Source organism: Homo sapiens, chromosome 3, assembly GCF_000001405.40.
Source record: "Homo sapiens chromosome 3, GRCh38.p14 Primary Assembly".
Taxonomy (NCBI): domain Eukaryota; kingdom Metazoa; phylum Chordata; class Mammalia; order Primates; family Hominidae; genus Homo; species Homo sapiens.
Genome location: NC_000003.12, coordinates 23,513,168 through 23,537,363, shown reverse-complemented (window position 1 = coordinate 23,537,363; position 24,196 = coordinate 23,513,168). Strand labels below are relative to the sequence as shown.

At 36.1% G+C, this 24,196-nt stretch overlaps 1 protein-coding gene across 4 annotated transcripts in view, besides 2 other annotated features; it reads right to left on the bottom strand.

The window, feature by feature from the left end:
- Positions 1–24,196, bottom strand: part of UBE2E2 (ubiquitin conjugating enzyme E2 E2) — a 388,828-nt gene that overhangs the window by 54,562 nt on the left and 310,070 nt on the right. For 2 of the 4 annotated variants that reach the window (NM_001370226.1, XM_047448843.1), the window contains exons 5-6: positions 4,663–4,810; positions 667–3,211 (exon numbers count right to left, since the gene is read on the bottom strand). In NM_001370226.1, the coding sequence (NP_001357155.1) occupies positions 3,150–3,211; positions 4,663–4,810 (210 nt within the window). In that variant the 3' untranslated portion in view covers positions 667–3,149. Of the gene's footprint in view, positions 1–666; positions 3,212–4,662; positions 4,811–24,196 lie in introns of those variants that run through there. The other 2 variants (NM_001370225.1, NM_152653.4) reach the window with 1 other exon arrangement.
- Positions 6,122–6,291: an enhancer, noted in NCBI's record as "experimental_68816 CRE fragment used in MPRA reporter constructs". NCBI's record gives its function as "activates a minimal promoter by MPRAs in K562 erythroleukemia cells, with activity observed for both the introgressed and non-introgressed 3:23572649 variant alleles {active_cell/tissue: K562}" and the evidence as "EXISTENCE:reporter gene assay evidence [ECO:0000049][PMID:34662402]".
- Positions 18,311–18,480: an enhancer, noted in NCBI's record as "experimental_68793 CRE fragment used in MPRA reporter constructs". NCBI's record gives its function as "activates a minimal promoter by MPRAs in K562 erythroleukemia cells, with activity observed for both the introgressed and non-introgressed 3:23560460 variant alleles {active_cell/tissue: K562}" and the evidence as "EXISTENCE:reporter gene assay evidence [ECO:0000049][PMID:34662402]".

Sequence of the window (24,196 nt, the reverse complement as noted above, 5' to 3'; positions counted from 1 at the left end):
GCTCATCCATCCTGAGTGTTGATGTTTGTGGGTATGCTTAGAGCATTTTCATTTGACCTGACCTGTATAGTTCTGCCTGTTTGAAGAGAGACAGACAAAGACTTCATGGTTGCTTACGAATGCAAGCCCCTGCTGGTCCAGGCTGCACCACAAGGCAGCTTATGGTCTGAAGGCAGACGACAGGGGAATGAAATACACAAGCCAGGGTCAGAGCCCAGATGATTCCCTTCAAGAGCAAAAGAGAGCCAAATCACGTACCACTTACAGATTACCTTAAGTCCTCACTTAATGTGGCTGATAGGTTCTTGGAAACTGCAACTTCAAGCAAAATGAAGTACTGTATGCCACGGGAAATTAACCCTTGTTTAGATCAATCAGCCTATGGTAAAATTGGTTTCATTATACATTATCTCGTTTCACTAAAAGTTGCAGTTTCTAAGAACCTACTGATGACATTAAACGAGGACTTATGTCACACTGTTAGTATGTCTGATTTTTAGCAACTAAAAAAAGTTAAGAAGAATTTCAAACATATCCAAACATAGAAAAGTATAATGAGCACCCATGTGTATACTCATCACTCAGATTCAACAGTTATAATGGTCAATCTCAGTATCTTCCATATTCCTCCCCATCTACAATCTTTCTGGATTATTTTGAACTAAATTCCATATATCAAAGAATTTTATTTGCAAATAGTCCAGTACAGATGTCTAAAAGGTAAGGACAGGTACAATTCCATTGTCATGCTCAAAAATTTCTGGCAATAATTTCTCAATATCAAATGTTTCATTGTCAACTTTCTGACTGTCTCATAAGAGTCATACATATTTGGGGGAAAATTTTAAATGATACATCATAACTGAGTTTAGAACAAAACAAGCTCAAAAACACTTTAGAGAGTAACAGTAGTAGAGCAGACAAATAGAAATGAGATTAATAAAATAATGCTAGATGATATACAGACCTATACACGTCTCAAGAAGGAAAAAAAGGTTAGAAATATTTATAGCCATAACTCTGTAAACTAAGCATCAGGTAAAGGAAAACTGTTGATCTTCTAATTGTCAGTGTTCTCACAATGATTAATTTTGCATGAGGTAAAATACCCATTTTTTAAATAGGTCTGAAGGCCATAATATAAGCACATTTTAAATAATTGTTAAAGAAACAGATTTCATATAAAGAATATTACCAAACATCTAAGAGTTTTTAAAAAGTCCACAAAATAGCAAAAACAAACTTCAAAAGATGAAACCAAATAGAACTTAAATTTTATGTGTTAAATAATGACTCCAGAAGAAAGTACTTACAAATAAGAAAGCACAGAAATTTGATTCCCCAATGGTATTCTCAACTTTGGCAATTCACAAATTAAATAATGTTTAGTAAGCAAGACTAAACTCAGAAAAAGCCAGGTAACGTCTAACAAATAAGAATGCTTGGCTGGTTGGGTGGCTCACGCCTGTCATCCCAGCACTTTGGGAGGCCGAGGCGGGCGGATCACGAGGTCAGGAGATTGAGACCATCCTGGCTAACACGGTGAAGCCTTGTCTCTACTAAAAATACAAAAAATTAGCCAGGCATGGTGGTGGGGCCTGTAGACCCAGCTACTCGGGAGGCTGAGGCAGGAGAATCGCTTGAACCCGGGAGGAGAGGATGCAGTGAGCTGAGATCGTGCCATTGCAATCCAGCCTGGGCGACAGAGCGAGACTCCATCTCAAAAAAAAAAAAAAAAAAAAAAAGAATGCTCTATCAGGCTCAATAAACACCATCATGAAGTGGTGGCCTAATAAGACCAGCAGTTAGATCTACCTAGACAATTGCATTGAAAACAGAATGATTATTGCTGGTGCACCCATCGACTGGCTGATAACGTTTGGACATCTGCCACCTGAGTGATAATCCTACTAAGTCAAGGTTCAGCTTTTTTCGATTGTAAAATCCAAGTGTCAATGTTGAGGTGACGGCGTTAGATACTATTCGATACTATCTCCCCAGTTAAATTCAACTGAGTAGGTGTTTATCGGTCACCTATTGTGGGCCCATTTGGTGTCCCAAATACTCTGGGTAACAATATCAACAACACATTACCATTTATAAATGGCTTTCACATATACCATCTCATTTTAACCTCAGAGGAATCCAGTGATTTAGGCAGGGCTGGTACTAATCCCAATTTTATATCAAAAACTAAGCCTGTGGAAAGTTAAGTGACCCATCCAATGTGATATGACTAATAAACAATTAAACTGGTTTTCAAATCTACATCTGCTGTCTACAAATATCATGCTGATAAGGATGGGTAGTCATACCCTAAAGAACATCTGTGTTGGAATGGACCAAAAATTCTTTAAAGAGACAAGTGCAAATTACAAAAAGAGTATGAAAAAGATTTAGAAAATAAGTTTATGTATGGATAAGAGTGAGAAAGTATTTTTTAAGTGAGTTAAATTTGTATCATTATACAAGGCCTATTTTTGAGGTGACAGCATTTCCGGGTTAAAATAGCTCTACAGATTCAGTGTAGGAAAATCTTATTTATTCCTATTCTATCAAACTTGTTTTTGTGATAATTTGAAGATAGATTTAAGATAAACTTCAATCTAACCTAATCTTTCCTACCTCTGTAGGTAAAAAAACCTACAGAGATTGAAAGTGTACCAGATAACAGTGTGAAATAAGTCCATTAAGCAAAAGAATGGACATTTGACTACTTTAAAATAAACAACTCTATTTAAGATTCTAGAAGTGTCAACATTCATAAAAACCAATTAGGAAACTTTATTTTTATGTGTTAAAAAGTGTGATAAACTAAATGTTAGCATGTATTTTACAAATTCTCTTCTAGTCTCATATGAGGCAGGCTGTCTTTGGTTTTATGGAACATTATTTTTAGGCTTGTTCTTACTATCAATAGCATTATTTCAAAATCTATTTCTTTTACTTATGTGGTTCTGCTTTAGTTAGGAGTGATTTTTAAGTTTTTGCAGAATGCATTTGTAATTTTCTGAAACGGAGCAAAAAAAAAAAACTAGTTCACTGAACAGAAGTCTTTTTGATTGCTGAGAGAAGGCTTTGGTGGAATGAATCTATTCCTTTAAGCAGGAATATCTGTAGAGAGAACAGGCTGTCATATACAGGCTTATTCAGGGTAACAGATTCCATTTCAGCTGACTTGGAGGCAAAGCAGGCCAGGCTTCGAAATCACCTCAAAAAAAAAAAAAAAAAAAAAGCCTTCTTGCAACATTACCTCCAAATGAGGTTATACAAGGTTATACACAGTCACAGACAAATGGGATTAAAATGGGAACAACAGGACTGAAAGAACAAAATTAACTTTAAATTAGTATAACATTATTGGACTTTACTGTCTGTAGTAAAGTATGAATTAATTCAAAAAATATTTTATAATGATCCTGCACAATTTTATTTTTTGGGCAGGCTGGGTACAGTGGCTCATGCCTGTAATCCCAGCACTTTGGGGGGCCAAAGCGGGCGGATCACAAGGTCAGGAGTTCGAGACCTGGCTGGCCAACACGGTGAAACCCCGTCTCTACTAAAAGTACAAAAATAAGCTGGGCTTGGCGGCACACGGCTGTAATCCCAGCTACTTGGGGGGCTAAGATAGGAGAATCGCTTGAATCCAGGAGGCGGAGGTTGCGGGAGCCAAGATCGTGCCACTGCACTCCAGCCTGGGTGACACAGTGAGACTCAGTTTCAAAAAAAAAAAAAAAAAAAAAATACTAATTTGCTACTTTAAAAAAGATTTTACTGCTGAAAAATAAAGAAATATAAAAGTAGAAAGACTGTTATTTCTTGATGTTTTATAAAACAGCCAGGATCCTAAGCAACCCCACTGATACTCGTCATTTCCATTTGTGTAAAATTTCATGTATCCAGTGAACAGAGTTTACTCATGATTGTAGAAGAGGGAATCTCATGCAATATTTAAGCTATTAATTACTCATAAAATAATTCTCCCACTGAGAACATCAATGAAAACCCTATAGCTATCTTTGGATTTTTGTATTTTCTAAAATAAACCCAATTTGTAAAGACATGGCCCAGGAATTAAGAATTTTCAGTGGTAAGCACACCAGCAAGCCATAAAGGCCTGGCTATAGACTTTTTCGTTTTCTTGGGAGGTGTATTTCCTTGTTTACTTTTGGGGTATTTCCTAGAACAGACCATTCAGGACCGTTATAATAGCTTGTCAGGATGCACAGTTACTAGGATGCCAAAAAGGTCACGTCTGCATGGTGCTGCCTGGTTGTTATCAGATTTTAATAGCCCACATTCCTCAAATTAACATCTTCTAGTAGGCATCTAATTAAAGATTAAGCTATTCAACTTGAATTTTTATTATTATTTGGCAGGATAACTTAATTCATTCTTTAAACGTACTTTCCCATCTAAAATGATTTTTCATTATTTTTTTTACCACACTATACTTTTTCCTTTTTGGCAAATGATAGGTCTTAAAAACACTAATGAGAAGACCCAATTTAAAAAGAAAATAGTTACATACTATGAAAATTTAACAATAATAGTAGTAGAAGCAGTGGTGGTAGTGGTAGTAGCAGTAGTAAACAAGTTACTAAGGGTCTGACATTTAAATCTTGACAAGCTCCAATTCATACTAGATTTAAAGTCTCTTACCAGGGTTGCAATCTGTAAGAAGTGAGCAGATGGAGAGGAGAACTTTAGAAATAGTTAAAGCCGGACTCCAGTTGTCCTTTAAGATGTCCAGACAGATCACACCTTGGCTGTTAATATTACAGTGATAGATTCTTGTTCGGAAGGTAACCTACAAGAAAATGTAAAGTTATATTTTGTTAGACAAAGTGTTTATTAACAGTATCTATAGACAATTTTTGTCTAATAAAATTGCCTATTTTATCAGACAAAATAGCCCAGGCTATTGGTTAACATACACTTGATTTTTTTCTTGGGCACATGAGATTAATCAACAGAGATCATCATTTTAGAATTTGTCATTTTGGGCACAGAGAAATAAACATCAACAGCAAAACCATGACATTCTGCTTCTTATAAAGAGTCCTGTTATTTAACAAATGTTTTAGGGACTGAATTTACTTTTGATACAACTACAGGAATGTTCATGGGGAGAAACTGACTCTGACTTCTAAAAAATTTCAAAGAAAACTTTTGTTAGATTCCAGTTATTTTAAGGATTTTGTACATTTATAATATTCAAACACCAAAAAGCATGAGAGTACTAATACAAAGAAAATAAATATTATTCTATAACAGTTTTTTTTTCTTTTTTTTTTTTTTTGAGATAGAGTTTCGCTCTGTTGCCCAGGCTGGAGTGCAGTGGCGTGATCTTTGCTCACTGCAACCTCCACCTCCCGGGTTCAAGCGATTGTCCTGCCTCAGCCTCCCAAGTAGCTGGGATTAGAGGTGCCCGCCACCACACCCAGCTAATTTTTGTATTTTTAGTAGAGACAGGGTTTTGCCATGTTGGCCAGGCTGGTCTTGAACTCCTGACCTCAAGTCATCCGCCTGCCTTGGCCTCCCAAAGTGCTAGGATTACAGGTGTAAGCCAACATACCCGGCCTATAACACAGTTTTAAAACATAAACTAAGGCATTTATATAAATAACATGCCCAGTTCATAGAACTATATTAGTATAATTATAGTAGTTACAATTTACTATTTTAGTTATATTACTAGTTACAATTAGCTGTAATTTAGAAACCTTTTCCTTCTTAAATTTTATTTTTAAAACGTAATATTAGTGCATCCTACCTTTGCCCTGTGATAGCTAGATCACCACTGTATGCTGCTTACATGTAATTGTGAAACATGACCATATCATTTGTAAAACACTTCAACTGAAAATAATTAAGTGCAAATCAGTTTTATAACTACGAAAATAATTAAGTGCAAATCAGTTTTATAACTACTAAAACTGTTTAATAAAAGTGTTATGTAAACGGCAATAAGATGTGAATATTATTGATTAATATTATGTTCATAAATGTTCTTAAATTTTAAGTTGAAATATACAAAAATCTCAGGGTTCTAAAGACAGTCTTTTGGTACCCTATGTTCAAAATAGCTCTGAACCAAGAAAAACACACATGCAGATCTCTGCAGGTGCTGCCACTCCACCAGGGCATCCAGCATCCAGTCAAACACCAGATTTATGTAATTTACATGATGCGAAGTCTCAGAAAGGGCAAATCTAGAGACTTATGTGGTTGTCGAACAAGAGACATCATTCTCAGGTTAAATTAGTACTTCTAATGAGAACTGCCCTTCTAGCATCATGCCAGACCAGATAATCCATGACACCTACATACACATCTTAAATGCCTAGAAATGTTGAAGAAAATATAACCAACATTCTTTAAAATGCATAGCAAAATCTGTAAGGGGAATTCCCAGAGCCCAGAATTAAAAACCAAAAATTATAGTAAGCGCAACAAGCTGAGACTGCACCTGCCATGGGTGGGGTTTTGGGAAGAGGGAAGGGAGTAAAAGATGGTACTCAGTCTTAATAAAGTGGAGGTTTGGGTTTTGATGCCCTCATGGAAAAAGAAGATGAAATCTTAGGCCTGTATGTTGCAAGAATTTAGAATTGAGCGCCCTTATATCAATTAGGAAACTCGAATGGCTAGTCTTTCAGTAAATGCATGGACTTGAAAAGATATGCCTTATGACAGAGATAGCAAAGAAACTTACCAAAGAAAGCGTGGGCTCTAGAATGAGAAGAGAAATGTTTTTCCTGAGAATTCTAAATCCTAGATACATATACTGTGTAAACACTAGCTAACAAAAACAGCTTAAATGACTATATTATCAGATCAAAATATGTTTAAGGGAAAAAGCATTGTTAGAAACAAAGAACGTTACTGATAAAATAAACAACTCATCAAGAAAACAGTAACAATTCTGAATGTGCTGTATCTAACAATATAGCCAAAAGTATACAAAGTAAAAATGTGCAAAATTATAAGGAGAAAATGACATAGCTATAATCAAAGAGGGACATTTTCACCACAGTAACTGATAGGTCAACCAGACTAAAGATTAGTAAGGATATTGGAGATCTGAACAATTGGATAAACAAAATCAAGGGAGTGAATGAAGACACAATCCTACACTTAATGATTAAGGAACATTTAAGAAACATTTGTAAAAACTGATCCCATGCTAAGCCACAAAAGAAGCTTTACATATTTCAAAGAATTGACATTATTAAGACCATAATGTAAAGTCAGAATCTACATATAAAAGATCCCCCTATCATATGTTTGGAAACTGAAAAACTCATTTTCAAATAATTCTTGGATCAAAGAAAAAAATCAGTTACTATTATTGCTGAATGACAATGAAAATATTGGGTTGCCAATATCAAAATTTTGTGACTCAGCTAAAACAGTTGTAAAAGAGAAATCTACAGTTTCAAACACATACATTAGGAAGGAAGACAGATATTTAATGAGTTAAGTGTCCAACTCAGGAAGGTAGTAAAAGAACAACAGAGTAAACTCCATGAAAGAAGAAATAAAGACACTAGCCTAAGTTAATGAAACAGAGACTATCTCGTGATATTAAAATTTCTCTGGAGAAGGCAGAGTGCCTATCCCTTTAAGTGCTAAATGAAAAGATAAAATATTTTTACGATCCCAATTTAACCAATGAGTGGCTTACATAATATTGATAATTAACCCTCAAAACAACTCAATAGGGAAAATAATATTATTGGCAACCACTTGAAAAATGATGAAACTAAGGCAAAGGGAGGTTAAAGAACTGGCTCAAGATCCCACAAGTGGTAAGTGGAAGCCAGAATTTGAACACAATTGTGCTGATCCAAAAGCCTACGGTTTGTCTCTCAGCATCAATGCCTCTGTTCTTTCGTTAAAAATTTATAATTCTGGGATAATTGTAGATTCATGTACAGTTGTAAGAAATAAAGAGATCCCATGTATTTTTCACTCAATTTTCCCCAATGAAAACATCCTGTATAACTACAGTATACTGCAGGAAACTGACATTAATACAGTCCACTGACCTTTTCCAGTTTCATTTTTATGTGCACTCATGCATATTAAGTATATTTAGTTCTATGTAATTTTATCACATGTATAGATTTGTGTGAATACCACCAGTCAACACACAAACAACTCTATCACAAACATTCTTCATGGTACCCTGCGATAGCCATAGTTGCCTTCTCCCTTTACTTCAATTCCTGGCAACTACAACTCTGTCCTCATCTCCACAACTTTGTCATTTCAAGAACGCTATATAAATGGAATCGTATAGTAGGTAACCAATTGAAATTGGTTCTTTTCACTCTGCACAATTCCCTTAAGATCCATCCAAGCTGTTGCACGTGTCAATAATTTGTTCCTTTCTTACTGATGAGTAGTATTCCACGGCATAGATGTGGTAGAATAGGCAGATAAACAGACATGAGGAGGAGAAGGGCTGCCCTGAGAAAAGGAGTCTGGAAAATCTCATGCCCCAGGGATCACCCCAAACAGGCGTGCTAGATATGAACAGACAGGAGGGGAAATACCTAGGCAGAAAGGAATCCCCCTTAAGACCCCAGTGATTGCTCACTCTGCCAGTTAACCTGCCAGAATGTAGCTAGATGCATGCTAAAGGGAAGAGGGCAAAGGAGAAAATTCCTAAGAGATACGCAGAAGCAATTTGTGTCCAACATCGGGTTCACGCGTGCACACCAATAGTAAGGGAGGGTCCCACAACCTTGGGGCGGGAACTAGGTGAGGGAAAAGGCAGGGACTTAAGGCAGATGCAGAAAACTAAACAAAGTAAAAAGGCGGAGACTTAAGAAAGAGGCAGGAACTTCAAGAAAAAATCTGAAATCATAAAAACCCACCACTCTCGGGGTGCTGCTGGCTCACTCTCTTTCAGCAGCTCGCCCTGCCTCATCTTTTCAGAGTGTACTGTCTCTCTAGATAAACTCCCTACTCTGTATTTTCCTTCAATGAATTCTCTTTCTCTGGCTAAACCAGTAGCTTGGCAGAATTCTTTCTCCAAATAAGACTAAGAACCAAACAGTAATAGATGTACCAATTTGTTTACCCATTTACCCACTGAAGGGCATCTGGGTTTCTATGAGATTGGAAGAATCAAAATGTTTTTCCTACTCTCTCAACACAGAAGACTTCTGTGACCAAATGTGGGGTGAGGAGTTTCTCCTGACAACTAATTTTCTGATGCTAGCTGGGTGTCCCACAGTTCAATTCTGATACTATCCACCTGGATTTAGAGTCAGAACCTACAGGTTTAGGTCTCAGTCCCACAAGACTGCTTCTCACTTCAGATGCCAATCCAAGTTCTGACTGTTATAAACTGGGGGTTCCCACAACCCCCTCCTCAGGTTCAATCATTTGCTAAAGCAGTTCACACAATCCATAAATGCGTTTTACTTACCTTTACTGGTTTATTATAAAATATATTACAAAGGATACAGCTGAACAGTTAAGAAGATAAGCATAAGGTAAGGTACGAGCCATAAGGGGTGGGGTGGGGTGGTGGGGGTGGTATAGAGTTGCCATGCCCTCTTGGGGTACAACAACCTCCATGAGTTCAGCAACCCAGAACCTCTCTGAACCTTGCTTTTAGGGGTTTTATGGAGGCTTCATTATGTAGGCATGATTGATTTAAATCATTGGTCATTAGTGATCAACTCAAATTTCAGATGCTCTCCTCTCCCTGAGGGTTATAGGGGAAAGGGGCTGAAAGTTCCAACCCTCTAATCACATGATTGTGACATGATGGCAACCAGCTTCCATCCTGAGGCCTTCCAGGAGACCCCAGCCACCAGTCACCTCATTAGCATCAGAAGACACTTAACATTTCTGAGATCGCAAGGCTTTTAGTAGCTTTGTGCCAAAAATCAGGACCAAATAGTATATATTTCTTATTAAAAATCACAATATCGCAGGGTTGTTTCCATTTTCAAGCTATTACAAATAAAGCTGCTATGAACATCTGTGTATGTGTTTTGTGTGAACATAAGTTTTTATATCTCTCAGATAAATGCCCAAGAGTGTAATTGGTGGGTCATATGTTAAGCTCATATTTAGTTTTATAATAACCTGCCATACTCCTTCCCAGAGTGGTTGTACCATTTTATATTCTCACTAGCAATGTGATCTAGTTTCTCTGCATCCTTGCTAGCATTTGGTGTTATCACTATGTTTCATTATAGCCATTTTGATAAGGTGTAATGATACCTCAGTGTGGTTTTAATTTACATTTCCTTAAATGCTAATAATGTTGAACACTTTTTCATTTGTTTATGTGTTATCTGGATATCCTCTACAGTTTGTCACATCTTTTGCTCAGTTTTTATTAAAAATTTTAATAAATTTTGTTGACTTTATGGTGTTTTAAATGGAGACATTTCGTTAAAACCAAAGTATAACTGGATGAAAAATAATAAAATTTGAGTTTGCAAAGAATCCTGTGAATTTCTGGACAGAGTTTTAAACTTGAATATTTTATAATGATAACAAAAGGATCTACTTTGATGATGATGTTTGTCAACTTCTATTCTGACAGGTGTTCATGAATTAAACCACACTGAATTAAACAGACACACTGACTGTTCCAACATGTTCTAATGTCAGAGACTCCCACAACTACCACCTTTTGAAGCAGGAAACAAAATCTTGATCCCTAAGTTTTAAGAAGTGTTATGTGTTTATCTATTGAAATGTAAGCAATCTCCTCTTTGGGGGTCCTGCCATCATATTCCTACTTCAATACTATACTTGCAGTAGGACCTCCTCATGAAATCATGAATTACTCATGAAAGTATTGTCTTTCAACTGATGTCCAAAGCACTGCCTGGCATACATAAAGAGCCCACTGTTTGTTGAACAAATGCTAACACACCACAGGCTCGTGGTCTCTGAGGGGTTATAACCTCTTATTGTTTTTTAGGTAAAAGAGCGTTTTAGAACCATAACTTAAGAGTAAAAGCTGGAAGACTAGAGAATATCCTGAGGAAGGAGAAGATCTCTTTAACATTTTTCTGTCCCATGTTCCTTTACTAAATTTTCCTACAGGTTATAATATTATTTCACAAGGGGCTTCATATAGGCTAAACTAATAATAGAAATAATAAATTCAGTAAGCATTCAATATGTGCCGGGCACTCCAACATAAACATTTGTATTGCTGCTACTTCCTATTTAAATGCTAAAGAGAACCTAAGAAATGAGTGGTCTGGTTACATCAGCAAACATGTTCTACAATCAAGGTAAAAACTCGCTAATAAAAGCCCTTGAAGCAGCCAGCATTCTTTTCTAGACCTTATCAACAAACTAGGGAAAATGAGAAAGAATACTTGCAAACTGATAAGGAATTGTTTGCGGTCCTTAGATATTAGTGATTCAGAAATAGGAAATAATGTTTTGAATAGTGACAAATAGCAAAGAATTTGCAACTGCCAGAAGGAGAAGTTTAGAGGCTGAGAAAAGAAGTCTTCCCACCCTTAACCTACAAGACTACTCCGATCTCTGACTCAATTTTCCAGAAAGCCCATCACATTATTTTGATCAGGGGGCTGGGCAGCTATACATCCTTCATGTCATGTTCCTGACAAACAAGCAAATGATAAAAAATGACCATAAAGCAAACTGCACTTCCATTGCAAGGGTTAATACCCGCTGAGTTCTGTGTATCAAACTAGTTACGCCTACATTGGCATTTATAGCTGTATTTGAAGCATAGCTCAATAACTGATGTTTACAATGGTAGCCACCTTTTCTCAATGATAGGTAAAATTATATTGAGAATAACAGTTTTCAAAGGCAGGGAGGACAGCACCTTTTGGAACATTTTCCATAAAAAGGAAATTTTAAAAATACGACTTGGATATAGCGATATAGAAAACATTTATTTAGAATGGCTAATTCCCAGATGGCCCTGGATAACAAAGGTTTTAATTTATGTGTGATAAACACACACCCAACACCTGCATGTGTGGGTACACATGTGCAGTAGATGGAATAATGCCCTCTTGCCCCAAAGATGTCCACATCCTAATTCCTGGAACCTGTGAATGTTACCTCACATGATAAAAACAGCCTTGTGATTAGGCGGAGAATCTTGAGATGGGGGTGATTATCCTGGATTATTTAGGTGGGCCCAATATAATTTCAAGGGTACTTTAAGAGAGAGGCACGAGGATCAGGGTCAGTAGTAGGGGATGTGATAAGTGATGTGAGGAAGGAGCCATGAGCCAAGGAATGTAGTTGGCCTCTAGAAGCTGAAAAAGGCAAGGAAATGGATTTTTCCCCTAAAGCCTCAAGAATGAACTCAGCCATGCTAATACCTTGATTTGAGTCTTCTGACCCACGGAACTATAAGACTATAAGACAATAAATTCATACTGTTTCAAGCCACTAAGTCTGTAACAGTAGCAACAGGAAACTAATATAGTGCACACGTGTGTGTGTGTGTGTGTGTGTGTGTGTCTGTGTGTCTGTGTGTATCTGTATCTCCCAGCTGTCTCATTACTTTCTCTTAAAAGGTACTTAAAAATGAAGCTGTGCTATTTCTGTACTTCACAGAATCATCTCTCCTTAAAAATAATTCTAGAAAGAGTTAACATTCTTTATGTTGACTAAAGCATAAAAGAACACAGTAGCATTCTTGGATAACTAACTTTGCAACTCTGAGCCTCTCTTTCCTAACAAAACAAGAGGCTTAGATTATTTCTAAGGCTTATTCTAGTTCCATGATCCATGAGTTGTATTGTGGAAAGAATATATGGGTTTGGGAGTTAGCTGGACTTGGGCTGGAATTCTCTTTTTGGATGAATTACTTAACATCTTTGAGATTCAGTTTCTTCATCTGTAAAATGAGGAAAATAACAGCTATACCCACAGTAGCTGTGAAGACTGAAGTACACAAATGGTTCTAATAGCCTGCCTGGCACTCAGCAGGAATCCAATGAGTATTAGTTCTTCTTCCCTTCTCTTACATCCCCTAGTTACTAGTTATAAGATTAACTGAGAATGCATCACTTTAAGGTATAGGCAAGACTCCATATATAAATAAAAAGTAATTTTGTAAGAGGACAGAGATCATGAAAGGCATAAATATAAAAAAAATTTTAATACAGTATTTCTGACAAACTGATTCTAAACATAATTTAGAAAGATGTTTAAAAGTAAGCACCTCCAAGATGAAAAACTAATTCTGATAATAACATTCAAAATAACAATTTAAAATAATTTTTCAATGATAATGTTTTTCAATTTTTCAAAAAATTTTGATAAGGACATAAATGGTGCCTTGCTTTTACTGAGAAAATCTGCAATCAGTGAGAACATTCTTTTTAAAAATACTTTTCCACGGAGAACCCCCCAACCCCACAAATATTTGAAGCCCCCATGCCATGAATCAGTAAATCATGTAACAAAGCTCTAAAATGGTATGGTTAACATCATTAGGCTCACTATGAAACTACAGTTTATTTAAACAGGTTGTTAGTATACATAAAAAAAAAAAATCCCCTCTTTGAGATTTCAAGTGCTCTTTTCTTAAAACCAATTTGAGAGCACTGCACCAATAACTAACATACACCCTAAAATTAATTTTTTATTAGTGACAAAATAAAAATGGAAAACCTCATTATAGTGAGGGAATAAATCCTGAAAAATATGTATATCTAAGAAATACACATTAGCAAAACAGAACACCACCTTCCCCCAGCCCCCCACCCCATAGGAATATTATCTGGCCCTTGAATAACTGGCAGTGAAGGAACTGAAATTAAACATCACCTGAAAACCATAATGCATAAAGATGACACCTATCCAGCTGTGAATACTAACTACATGCTAGAGCATGCTACATGATAAGACTACTATCTTTTAGCTTTCAAGTACAATTCAAATGATTTAAAACAAAAGACCTTTATGCCACAGACATTTAAATTGAAAAAAGTCTTTCTCAGTTTCCTTTTATGTATAAATGTAGAAAAACATGCAACTAGAAAATTTTCCCCATCACGGGAAGCAAATCTCTTAGAAGATTGGGAGCATCTTATTCAATTCTCAGTGCTCTTTCCTACAATACAGCAAATTACTCTCAACTCCTACAGCGCAGGATGCTTGGTATGACTTGATAAGGGGCAAACAGATTCCTTCTTTTGCAATTTATAAAAATTCAGTTTATATAGAATGTTTCTGGAACATACCTATAATGAATAAAGTTCACTGGTTCTTTTCTAAATTTGTGTTTTTTTTAAATTAGTTACTTCTTTCATTATATTTCATATTTCATTTTTTTATCTTTACACAATTATTTTGTCTCTTGACTTGTTCTGTTTTTTTAAGTTTCAGAAATGGTATTCCAGAAGATTCTCCTTAATGGTAGATTGTATCATGGTACAGACAGAAATCTTTGAGTGTGAGTTCATTCTCAGTGGGCATTTTTTTTTCTTTCTATAGAAGTCCCATGTGCTTTGGACTGTGGAATGTTTTGCATTTGCATCTTCATGGGCCTCAGGTAACACTAGTTTGAGACTAGACTGTACCATATATGCCAAAACATAAGGCAATAAAATAAAATAATCCCTTAGGAAAAGAAGAGCTGATTTAGATTCAAATCTTCATAGAAGTCTCCTACAGATGACATCTCAAATACTTTCTTTTGAAGGAGATACTATCTGGTAAAGACATAGTTGCCTGAAACCAGCTCAATCAATGCTTGTTTGGCATGCATATAGAGGTTTCCTTCTCAATGGGTTAAAAAAAAGTGGAGGGGTTCAGAAATTAAACAAAACTCTAAGAGTACAAACTCACTATTTGAAGGCTTAGATTTTAACAAGTCTTTAAAAAATTTACTCAAAAAAGCAAAACAGAAATTTAAAACAAGGAATTTAAAAAATAAGCTGGTTATGGCCAGGCGCGGTGGCTCACGCCTGTAATCCCAGCACTTTGGAAGGCCGAGGCGGGCAGATCACCTGAGGTCAGGATATCGAGACCATCCTGGCTAACATGGTGAAACCCTGTCTCTACTAAAAATGCACAAAATTAGCCGGGCGTGGTGGCGGGCGCCTGTAGTCCCAGCTACTCCGGAGGCTGAGGCAGGAGAACGGCGCGAACCCGGGAGGCGGAGCTTGCAGTGAGCTGAGATCGTGCCACTGCACTCCAGCCTGGGCAACAGAGCGAGACTCTGCCTCAAAAAAAAAAAAAAAAAAAATTAGCTGGTTATATGAGTTTTCTACAAATGAGTTTTTGTGCCTTAGGACAAGTTATCCAATAACATAATCACATACGGATTTAAAAACGGCTGTTCCACCAAACAACTGTGGTGGAAATAAAGATAACCTGGTATCTAAACTTAAACAGGTACACAAATAATCATTTAAACATTCACACTGCTTTAATTCATTAAGCACATACATAGTAGGTGCTCAATTAGTGCTGGGGGGGTGGGGGGTACACGGGGATCCATCAAAACCAGAACCCAAAGCTTTCTTGGTTTAATCTTCCTTCTGGAGCAAGGGTGTCCAATCTTTTGTCTTTCCTGGGCTACATTGGAAGAAGAAGAATCGTCTTGAGCTACATATAAAATATACTTATGATAGCTCATGAGCTAAAACAAACAAACAAACAAACAAAACCTTATCATGTTTTAAGGAGGTTTACCAATTTGTGTTGGCCGCATTCAAAGCCATCCTGGGCCCGGATTGGATGAGCTTGTCCTAGAGGCATCAGTCTCCCCCAGTCAGGTACTAGAACAATTGCTCTTGAATAACAAACTTAACAACCATTATGTGGGGCTATGTTGAGCCAACAGCACTTATTTATCAATTAGTACTGTCCACAGAAGATAATTTAACAGATGTCCAAAGGACCAACATCTCTTAGACAAGATGATTCATTTCTGGCTTTAGAACTGCAAAAGTGTCTCATACATAACAACAATTAATTAGGAAGCACAACAGCTGAGATAGTTAATGGATTCCATGTAAAGCATGTAATAAATGACTGACCATATCACACTTGCTGTTTAACTAAAGACAGTGACATAAACACAAACAGAAGGAGAATGTCCTCCTTTTCGTTTCTTTTCTTTACATTTTTTATAGGTCTCACACTCCCCAAGGCAATTCTGTAAGACGCAGCATATTTACAGATTTGATAAATGTAAAATGAAAATAATGTACAGGATTACTCCATCCTTCAGGAAAGGAGTAATACATTTTATGTTTATAGATATATGAAGGGTCAGTTATTTATTTTAAGAGATCAATAATCCAGTTCATATACAACACAATACAAAGTATTTGTCAAACTAGCTAGAAGTGATGATTTAGCTTTTCATACAGCCTACAAAAGTGTAGAAGTAAACTATATTTAAACATGATATAAAAAAAAACATGAGCTGGGCTTGGTGGCTAACACCTGTAATCCCAACACTTTGGGAGGCTGAGGAGCAGGGATCACTTGAGGCCAGAAATCTGAGACCAGCCTGGGCAACACAGCAAGACCCTGTCCCTACAAAGAACTAAAAAACTATCCAGGCATGGTTGTGTGTGCCTGTATTACTAGCTACTTGGGAGGCTGAGGTAGGAGGGCAGCTTGTGCCCAGGAATATGAGGCTGTAGTGAGCTATGATTACACCATATACTCTAGCCTGAATGACAGAGACTCTGTGTCTCTAAAACTAATAAAAATATAGTAAAACAATGACTGATTCTGTTAATGATAAGTAAATTTACAGCTATTATAGAGTTGGCCAAATTCCCACTCTTTTGGTTGAATGCTATGTGTACAACACACAAAAGAGACATTCTTTGAAAGTAGCAGAGTATTCACAAATACTATAAAAATTTCCAAACTTTGTATGCATACTTGAGGGTAATCATATTTTTCCCCTATGTTCTTACCATAAAGTTAAAAAATACCACATGTATAAACAGTAAGTTGTAACCAAAAATAATAGTAATAATTAAAATAGCTACCAATAATGCCATGTTTATGTGCCACGCACTGTCCTAGGTGACTTGCATTTATTACATAATCTTCACACTCATCCTGTAAGGTGGGTACTATTATTACTAAGAAACAGACATAGGTTGAGAGGAATTCAAATCCTCACAGTAAAGTCAATTCCAATACTAAGCAAAAAGCTTATAAGGAAAATACAAAATAATCAAAGACAAATGAAAACCCCACACCCTCAAAGTTTTTTTTTTAATTAAAGAAAATGACAGAAAAAAATAATAAAGAAAATTATGTAAATTCCAGATCTCAACAGTTTGACTTTACAGAGCAAAGCTAATGACACAGGGATTCAACAGGTTTCTCAGATCAAGTTCTGACAAAATGATCAAGCATGTAAAGTGAATAGCGAAGAGAAGAAATGTTTAATGATATTCATGGCTGGGTGTGGTGGCTCAGGCTCAGCCTGGGAGTTAAGAGACCTGCGTGGGCAACATGGTAAAACTCCGTCTCTACAAAATAATGAAAAAAAAAAAATTAGCTGGGCATGGTGGCATGTGTCTGTAGCCCTAGCCAGTCAGAAGGTTGAGGAGGGAAGATCACTTGAGCCCACAAGGTTGAGGCTGCAGTGAACCATGACTGTGCCACTGCACTCCAGTATGGGCAATAGAGCGAGACCCTGTCTCAAAAACAAAACAAAAAAAACCCTCACACATATATATATTCACTATTACTATTGTGAGATTACTAAAGGCAAAAAAACCCAAGTCAGTTAAAAAAGTAAACAACTGTTTCAACATGACTTGAAAACTCTCACTTAACATGTATAATCTTTGAATAACTTAAATCTCAGCACACAGAATATTCTAGTGAATATTGTTTAAACATCTATGCAGAATAGATGTAGTTAACTAACCTGATACTCATAATACTGTACACTGAAAGTAACAGCTAATCAGGAAGCATACTTGAAAAATAAAAAAGGGTACTTTTATTAAATATTTGAAAGTTTTAGTTGGTTTTATAACAGGCATGACTAATACTATGTGATGATTTGAATTAGATTGTAAAATAGAAAAATGATAATGTATAAGCATTTGTTATAAAGGAATAAAATAGCAAAAAAAAAAACCTTGGTAAAGTAGAAGTGCACTTAATTTTCTAAGCTAGTTATTTCTATTTGAGAATGTGCTAATTCTTGCTTGATATATGACCCCCTTGCAACCAACCTGACATACAAATATTGGTTTACTTAAAAATGGTTAGAAAATAAGATTGGAGTCTTAGGGAAGGAGTGAAGGAGTAGATGTTGAATGACAAACTGAGGAGCTGGTCTTTCATCCTGCAGTTTAGGAGAATGCCATGATGAAAGAGGTGTTTTAGGGATTTGGAACAGGATTGTTATATGATGTTCGTTCTCAAATTAGCCTTTTGTGGAACAAATGCTTTGTGGTAGATGACACTAACTTATTCCTAAATTCACAAAATGGCTTTTATATGATTAATACCATTTTCTTTGAATATTGTCTTAACAGCTGACCAAACCAAGAAAGAAATGAATATATGTGAAACAGAAATAAGGGAGGGGGAGATGGAGAAAACATGGGCAACACAATCCACAATCTGAGGCAGGGACAGAGGGAAAAAGGGACAAGGCACTGCAGGCACACAGCAGCCAGAACTTACTGAAAACCAGTTCCCATCAAGCCTGCACCACTTCCTGGAACCCACTGTGGAGAATATCGGAGAGGGGAAAAGGAAGGCAGCAAATATATGAGAAGAGCCTAAGGCAAGCCTTCTGACTCTTCAGGTCAAGGCATCCTTATAAGGATGGATCTAAGTTTCCTTCCTCACTGTAAACATAAACTAGCTCACAGCTCATTTCAACAACTCCAGGACTATCACAAACATACCTCTTTCTGCCTTCGTGGCAAGCATTCAAGAATTACTTTTTAGTCTTACTGAAGGAATATGTAGTATTATGAGGAATATCTTAAATTTTATTTGTATCTAATGGTAACTACCTGGGTTTGTTTTCCACTTAAATTTCCATGCCTAATTTTCTTTTATCCCAGGCAATCTCTCTCTTCTGTTCTTCTCTATTCCCCACTTGTCCATATCTAATCTCTGCTACCACTCTATGATTTCTGACATGATTTCTTCAGTCTCTACTTCCACCTTCTAGAGTATCTTGCTTCATTCACATTCCACGGCTTCCAAAGCCTGTTCTTTTGGGTTTATCTTTTCCCCTCCAATATTCTCTGTAAGACTACTGCCCTAAAAAAAATGGGTTAATTTTCCTTAAAGCTGTGTAGAAATGTATCTGATAGAAACAAGGAAAAAGAAAAAAGGAAGAGTGGGGAGTAGGGGGAATAAGAATGACTCAGAATTGTGTGAAAAAAAAAATTCCCATTTTCTAATGTTTTATTCCTGCTTCCTGAATCTCCTGTCCCTAAAAGAAATCTGAAGTACTATCTTAAATAAACACTCTAGGCCGCTGTTTTCCTTTCCATATAATTTGCAACATTTATCTTTGAAATTTTCTATCTAGTAGAAAATTGTCTGCTGTGGTATAACAATACCACCTTTTAGAAGCAAACAACTGCACCACATGTGGCTTTTTAAATAAATAGTGCCAACTTCATTTTACAAAACTGATAGTTGTATGTACAGCTAAATAAAGATTTCAGAAATAAATTTTTTGTAGACAGGCTAGCAAAAATGTTTATTTACAAAGGGAACAAATTTATATAAGGACAGGGATTATCTCTGATACTGATTTTTATCCCCTCTAGGAAAGAGGATATTGACATGTATTTGTTCAATAAACAAATTAACTGGAAAAACACAGAATATTTACATTTGAAAGGAGGCCACACATACCATAATTAAAAATGACAATTGATCGAGAGCTTCTGATGTTTCAACAGTTAGGTTTACAGTGCCTTCTTTTTGGGAGTCTGAGATGGGAGGTGTCAATGGAGAGATGTGTAAAGCTTATGTAGGGAAATGTGCTTTGTCATTCAAATTTTGATTTAAGGCAATTTAAAAAGTCTTGTGATTAGTATTTTAGTCGACAGAGATTATAAGTCTTAAATATTAATTGCAGAGTTGAGATTTTAAATATTTCATTAATTCTTCATATTAGAAAATAAAACTCATAGAAATTCCAGAAGCATGGCACATATCACTACATTGTGTCTACTTCAAATAAACAGTTCAAATAATTTAAAAAGCTGGGATGTCTCGGTAGAAAAGACTAACTATGCTTTTTTTCCTTTAAAAGAAGATTCATGGACTTTTGTTCTGACAATATTAGAAGAATGCACTTTCTTCAAAGGCCTGTATTGGTCAGTGTTTCATTTATTTCCTCCTATTTTAGTCAAAATTATCTAGTGGTATTAAAGGACAGAAATAAATAGTTTTGTTTGAAGTAAAAACTAACATATCATCATAGTAAAGTGGTCATGTTCATCATGAAACTGATATGTTCTAAGGTGTTAAAGAACACATATCTAGAGGTCCCACAATTAGATGGATGGCTTTAGCTAGATGTTGTAAAACTTTAAATTAATAAGACTCATTTCTCAGGTATGTACTAAAAACCTGTATCATTAGTTTATACAGTCACATAGTAAAATACTTTTAGCCTGGTTGGAAGTAACATCCTTTATTGGTCATAAAAATAAATCTATTAAAAAGGTTAAGAATAGAGGATACAAGAATAAATTTTTTCATCCAAATTTCTAACTATTACACTTTCACTATTAAAAATATTTAAGAATTTTGTCTTCACTTTGATATTATACTGCAGGAATAGTATTTTCTAAACACTGTTGACTGCTATAATATACATCTGCTTACTTTATACTGAGCCTAGTGGAGGAACAAGATTTTTTTTGTTATAGATACTGCTGGTATCAGAGTCTGTTACCATAGTGTTATTAGGCTTTTCTTCTCTAATACCAACTGAGTAAGGTAAAAACATTATCTCTTTCAACCATCTGTTTTGCAGATTTGGTTCACAGTTATAATGCAGTTTCACTGAAGTAATCTCACAAACTCAAGTTTTATGCACTGCTCTAAGAAGGTGCTTTGAATATTTTTATAACAAACAATGCTATTGCTCTGATATATATTCTTTCTCCCCCTAATATTTTTGCTTGTATTTGTTGTTCACACAATCTTTTGAGGGAAAAAAGTTGTTCTTAAACTATGTATCTAGAAATACAGTAATAGAACAGTGTAACTGGTATCCAAGATACAACTGTTTCTGAATTTCCACCTGCAGGTTAGCTTTCAAAGCATGCACATGTACTTCAACATCTTTTTTGGAGTGGAATGATGTAAGAAATGTTCTCTTAAGAAACATTAATCTGGTTGCTCCTTTTTAATTTTTGTTTTGTTTTTCAGAGACAGGGTCTCCCTCTGTTGCCCAGGCTGGAGTATAGTGGCATCATTATAGCTCACTGCTATCTCCAACTCCTGGGCTCAAGCTCTGCCTTAGCCACCTGAGTAGCTGAGACTACAGGTGTGAGCTACCACGCCTGGCTCGTTTTTTCTTTTCTTTTTTTTTTTTTTCTTTTTGTAGAGATGCGATCTCACTATGTTGTCCAGGCTTGTCGTGAACTTCTGGCCTCAAGCGATCCTCCCACCTCAGCCTCTCAAAGTGCTGGGATTATAGGCGTTAGCCACTGCACCTTGCCCTTCAAATTTTTATACCACTTTTATATGTTCTTAATTAATGAGAACGTATTAAAATTTCAAGTGTCTGTCTAATTTTTACAGGGAGTATATGCTGGTTATACACCCATACTAATCGAATTGCCAGGAGGAGATGGTATCCATGTCCAAGGAGGAGGGAGGGCTTGTATTTTTCACATTTAAAAACATTGTCATTCTGTAGCTTGATAAACCTATCTTCTCTCTCCTTCCTATTGAAATTCTATCATCCATCATGGACCAGCTAAATAATACTTCCTTGAGAAAGCCTTCCCTGCCACTCTGTTTGTTCAACAACAGTGCTCCAAATGTTAGGTATTTACATGTGTGTGCACACCTGCAGGAGGAAATATCTCCTATTTCACTTTGCTTTTCATTGTTTTTCAACTTATTAAAAAAATTCAAACCTATAGTAAACAGACTCACCAACTGTTAACAGCTTGCTAAATCTGCTTTATCTCTCTCTCTATACATATGTATGTATCTCTCTCTCTATATATATGTACACACACACACACACACACACACACACACACACCCCAAGTTTATTTTGTCCCTACAACTATTTGAGAGTAAGCTTCAGAAAACATGAAGGTCAGTTCTTTAGTACAAATCATACAATCATTGATCATGCCAGGTTCAGAGATGATGGAAATGATTAATCAGAAATTCAGCTATTTGGTCTTCCAAAGGACAAGATCAAAATTAAACCTAAGAGCAGATTTTGACCCAATACTGAAACTGAAGACAAACTGCAGTTTATTCCTACTCCTTATCTATTGCTTAATCATTGTCTTATTTTTCATTAGTATACTTTTATTACATTCTCGGAGTTCACCAATTCAGTACTGTGGCCTCAATTCTTAATCCCCTTGGCTTTTTGTTTGAATGAAACCCCTCTATTTGACCAGACTCCTAAGACATTTCTCCTTGTCTCAGCTTGATGAAGTTCTTTAACCACTTTTTTGTGCTTTCTCAAACTTGTCTGCTCAGCCTCCTTCCATTTGTCATTTCTCATGCAGTCAGGCACCGACACACCATCTCAAAAATAAATAATAATAATAATAATAAAATATTACTTTCTACTGGGTTTACTGGATGCCTTTATGGCAGGCATCTTCAGGGAAAAGCAAGGCCCTGCCTTCTGGGTATAAGAATTAGATATGATTAGATATGGGAGAATGAGAATGAAAACACATACACACTGCACAATATTTCAGTACTACAAACCAACAGGGCAAAAAAGATTTCAGAAGTGTTAAGGATACACAGGCTAAATGAATATTCATTTGCTTCATCAATCATATCTGCCAGGTACTGTAAGGCACATAAGGTCTTTGGATCTTAGAAGGTAACGTGAGAAAGAAACCATCAGGTTGACGTGACAGCAACAACTAGTGTGGCACTGTTTATAGAAGGTGGTCAGAAAATGTACCTCTCAGGATCTAACTCTGAACAGTCCTGAACAATGAGAAGGTATTGACCACATGAAGAACTGGATCAAACATGTTCCAGTCAAATGTACTGGCAAATCATAAGGTCAAAAAGGAGGCCTAGGAGGGCCTGCATGTGATGAGGCAGGCAGAGAGATCACGTAGGGCCTTGTAAGACAAAGAAGTTTGGATTTTATTCTAAGTGCAATGGGAAGCCACTGAAGAGTTTTAAGCAGGGCAGTGACAAATCACTGACAGTTAAAGATGTGAAAGGAAACTTAGAGACTGTTAAGCCTCTTTCTACAGATGAAAATACTACATCCATAGGTTTCTATATGGAAACTCTTCACACTCTTTCAATAAGAAAAAGTGTACACTTACTTTCAATAAAAAAAAGTCCAAATTCTGGACACATGAAAAGGTATTATTTTACTTATAATGAGAGAAAGCAATTATAAATATTCTTTTATTTATATCAGATTCATAAAGGTCAAATATTTGATGTCACACAGCACTGATAAGGATGTAGGAAAAGAGGCAGGTGTGCCTAAGTTGGGAGTATAACTTTGTATAGCTTCTTTGGAGGGCAATCTGGGCAGAATCTATTAAAATTGAACATGCATACATCATTAGTCCCAGTAATTCCACTTCTAGGAATTTATCCCACGGATATATTTGCAGAAGTCCACAAAGACAGTATGTACAAAGATACTCAGTGAAACGTTATTTGTGATGGCAAAAGATTAAAAAAAATCCCTGTATGTCAATCACAGGAAAACTTATGGTACACTTGTTCAATATAATATTATGTGATTCTAACAAAGATCTACACATACAAATATGGGATAATCTTCAAGATGGTAAATGCAAAAAGTAAATGCAGAATAAAAGATGTCTTTGGGAAGGTAACGGGAATGCTGGGCAATGAGGAGGACTGCATACCTTTTGTGCTGTTTGAACTTTTTACTGTGTATATATATTACCTATTTAAAACTAATTTAAAAAGAAAAATAGTTTGGTTTTAAAAGCAAATCACTACAAGAAGTAGTGATGTCTGG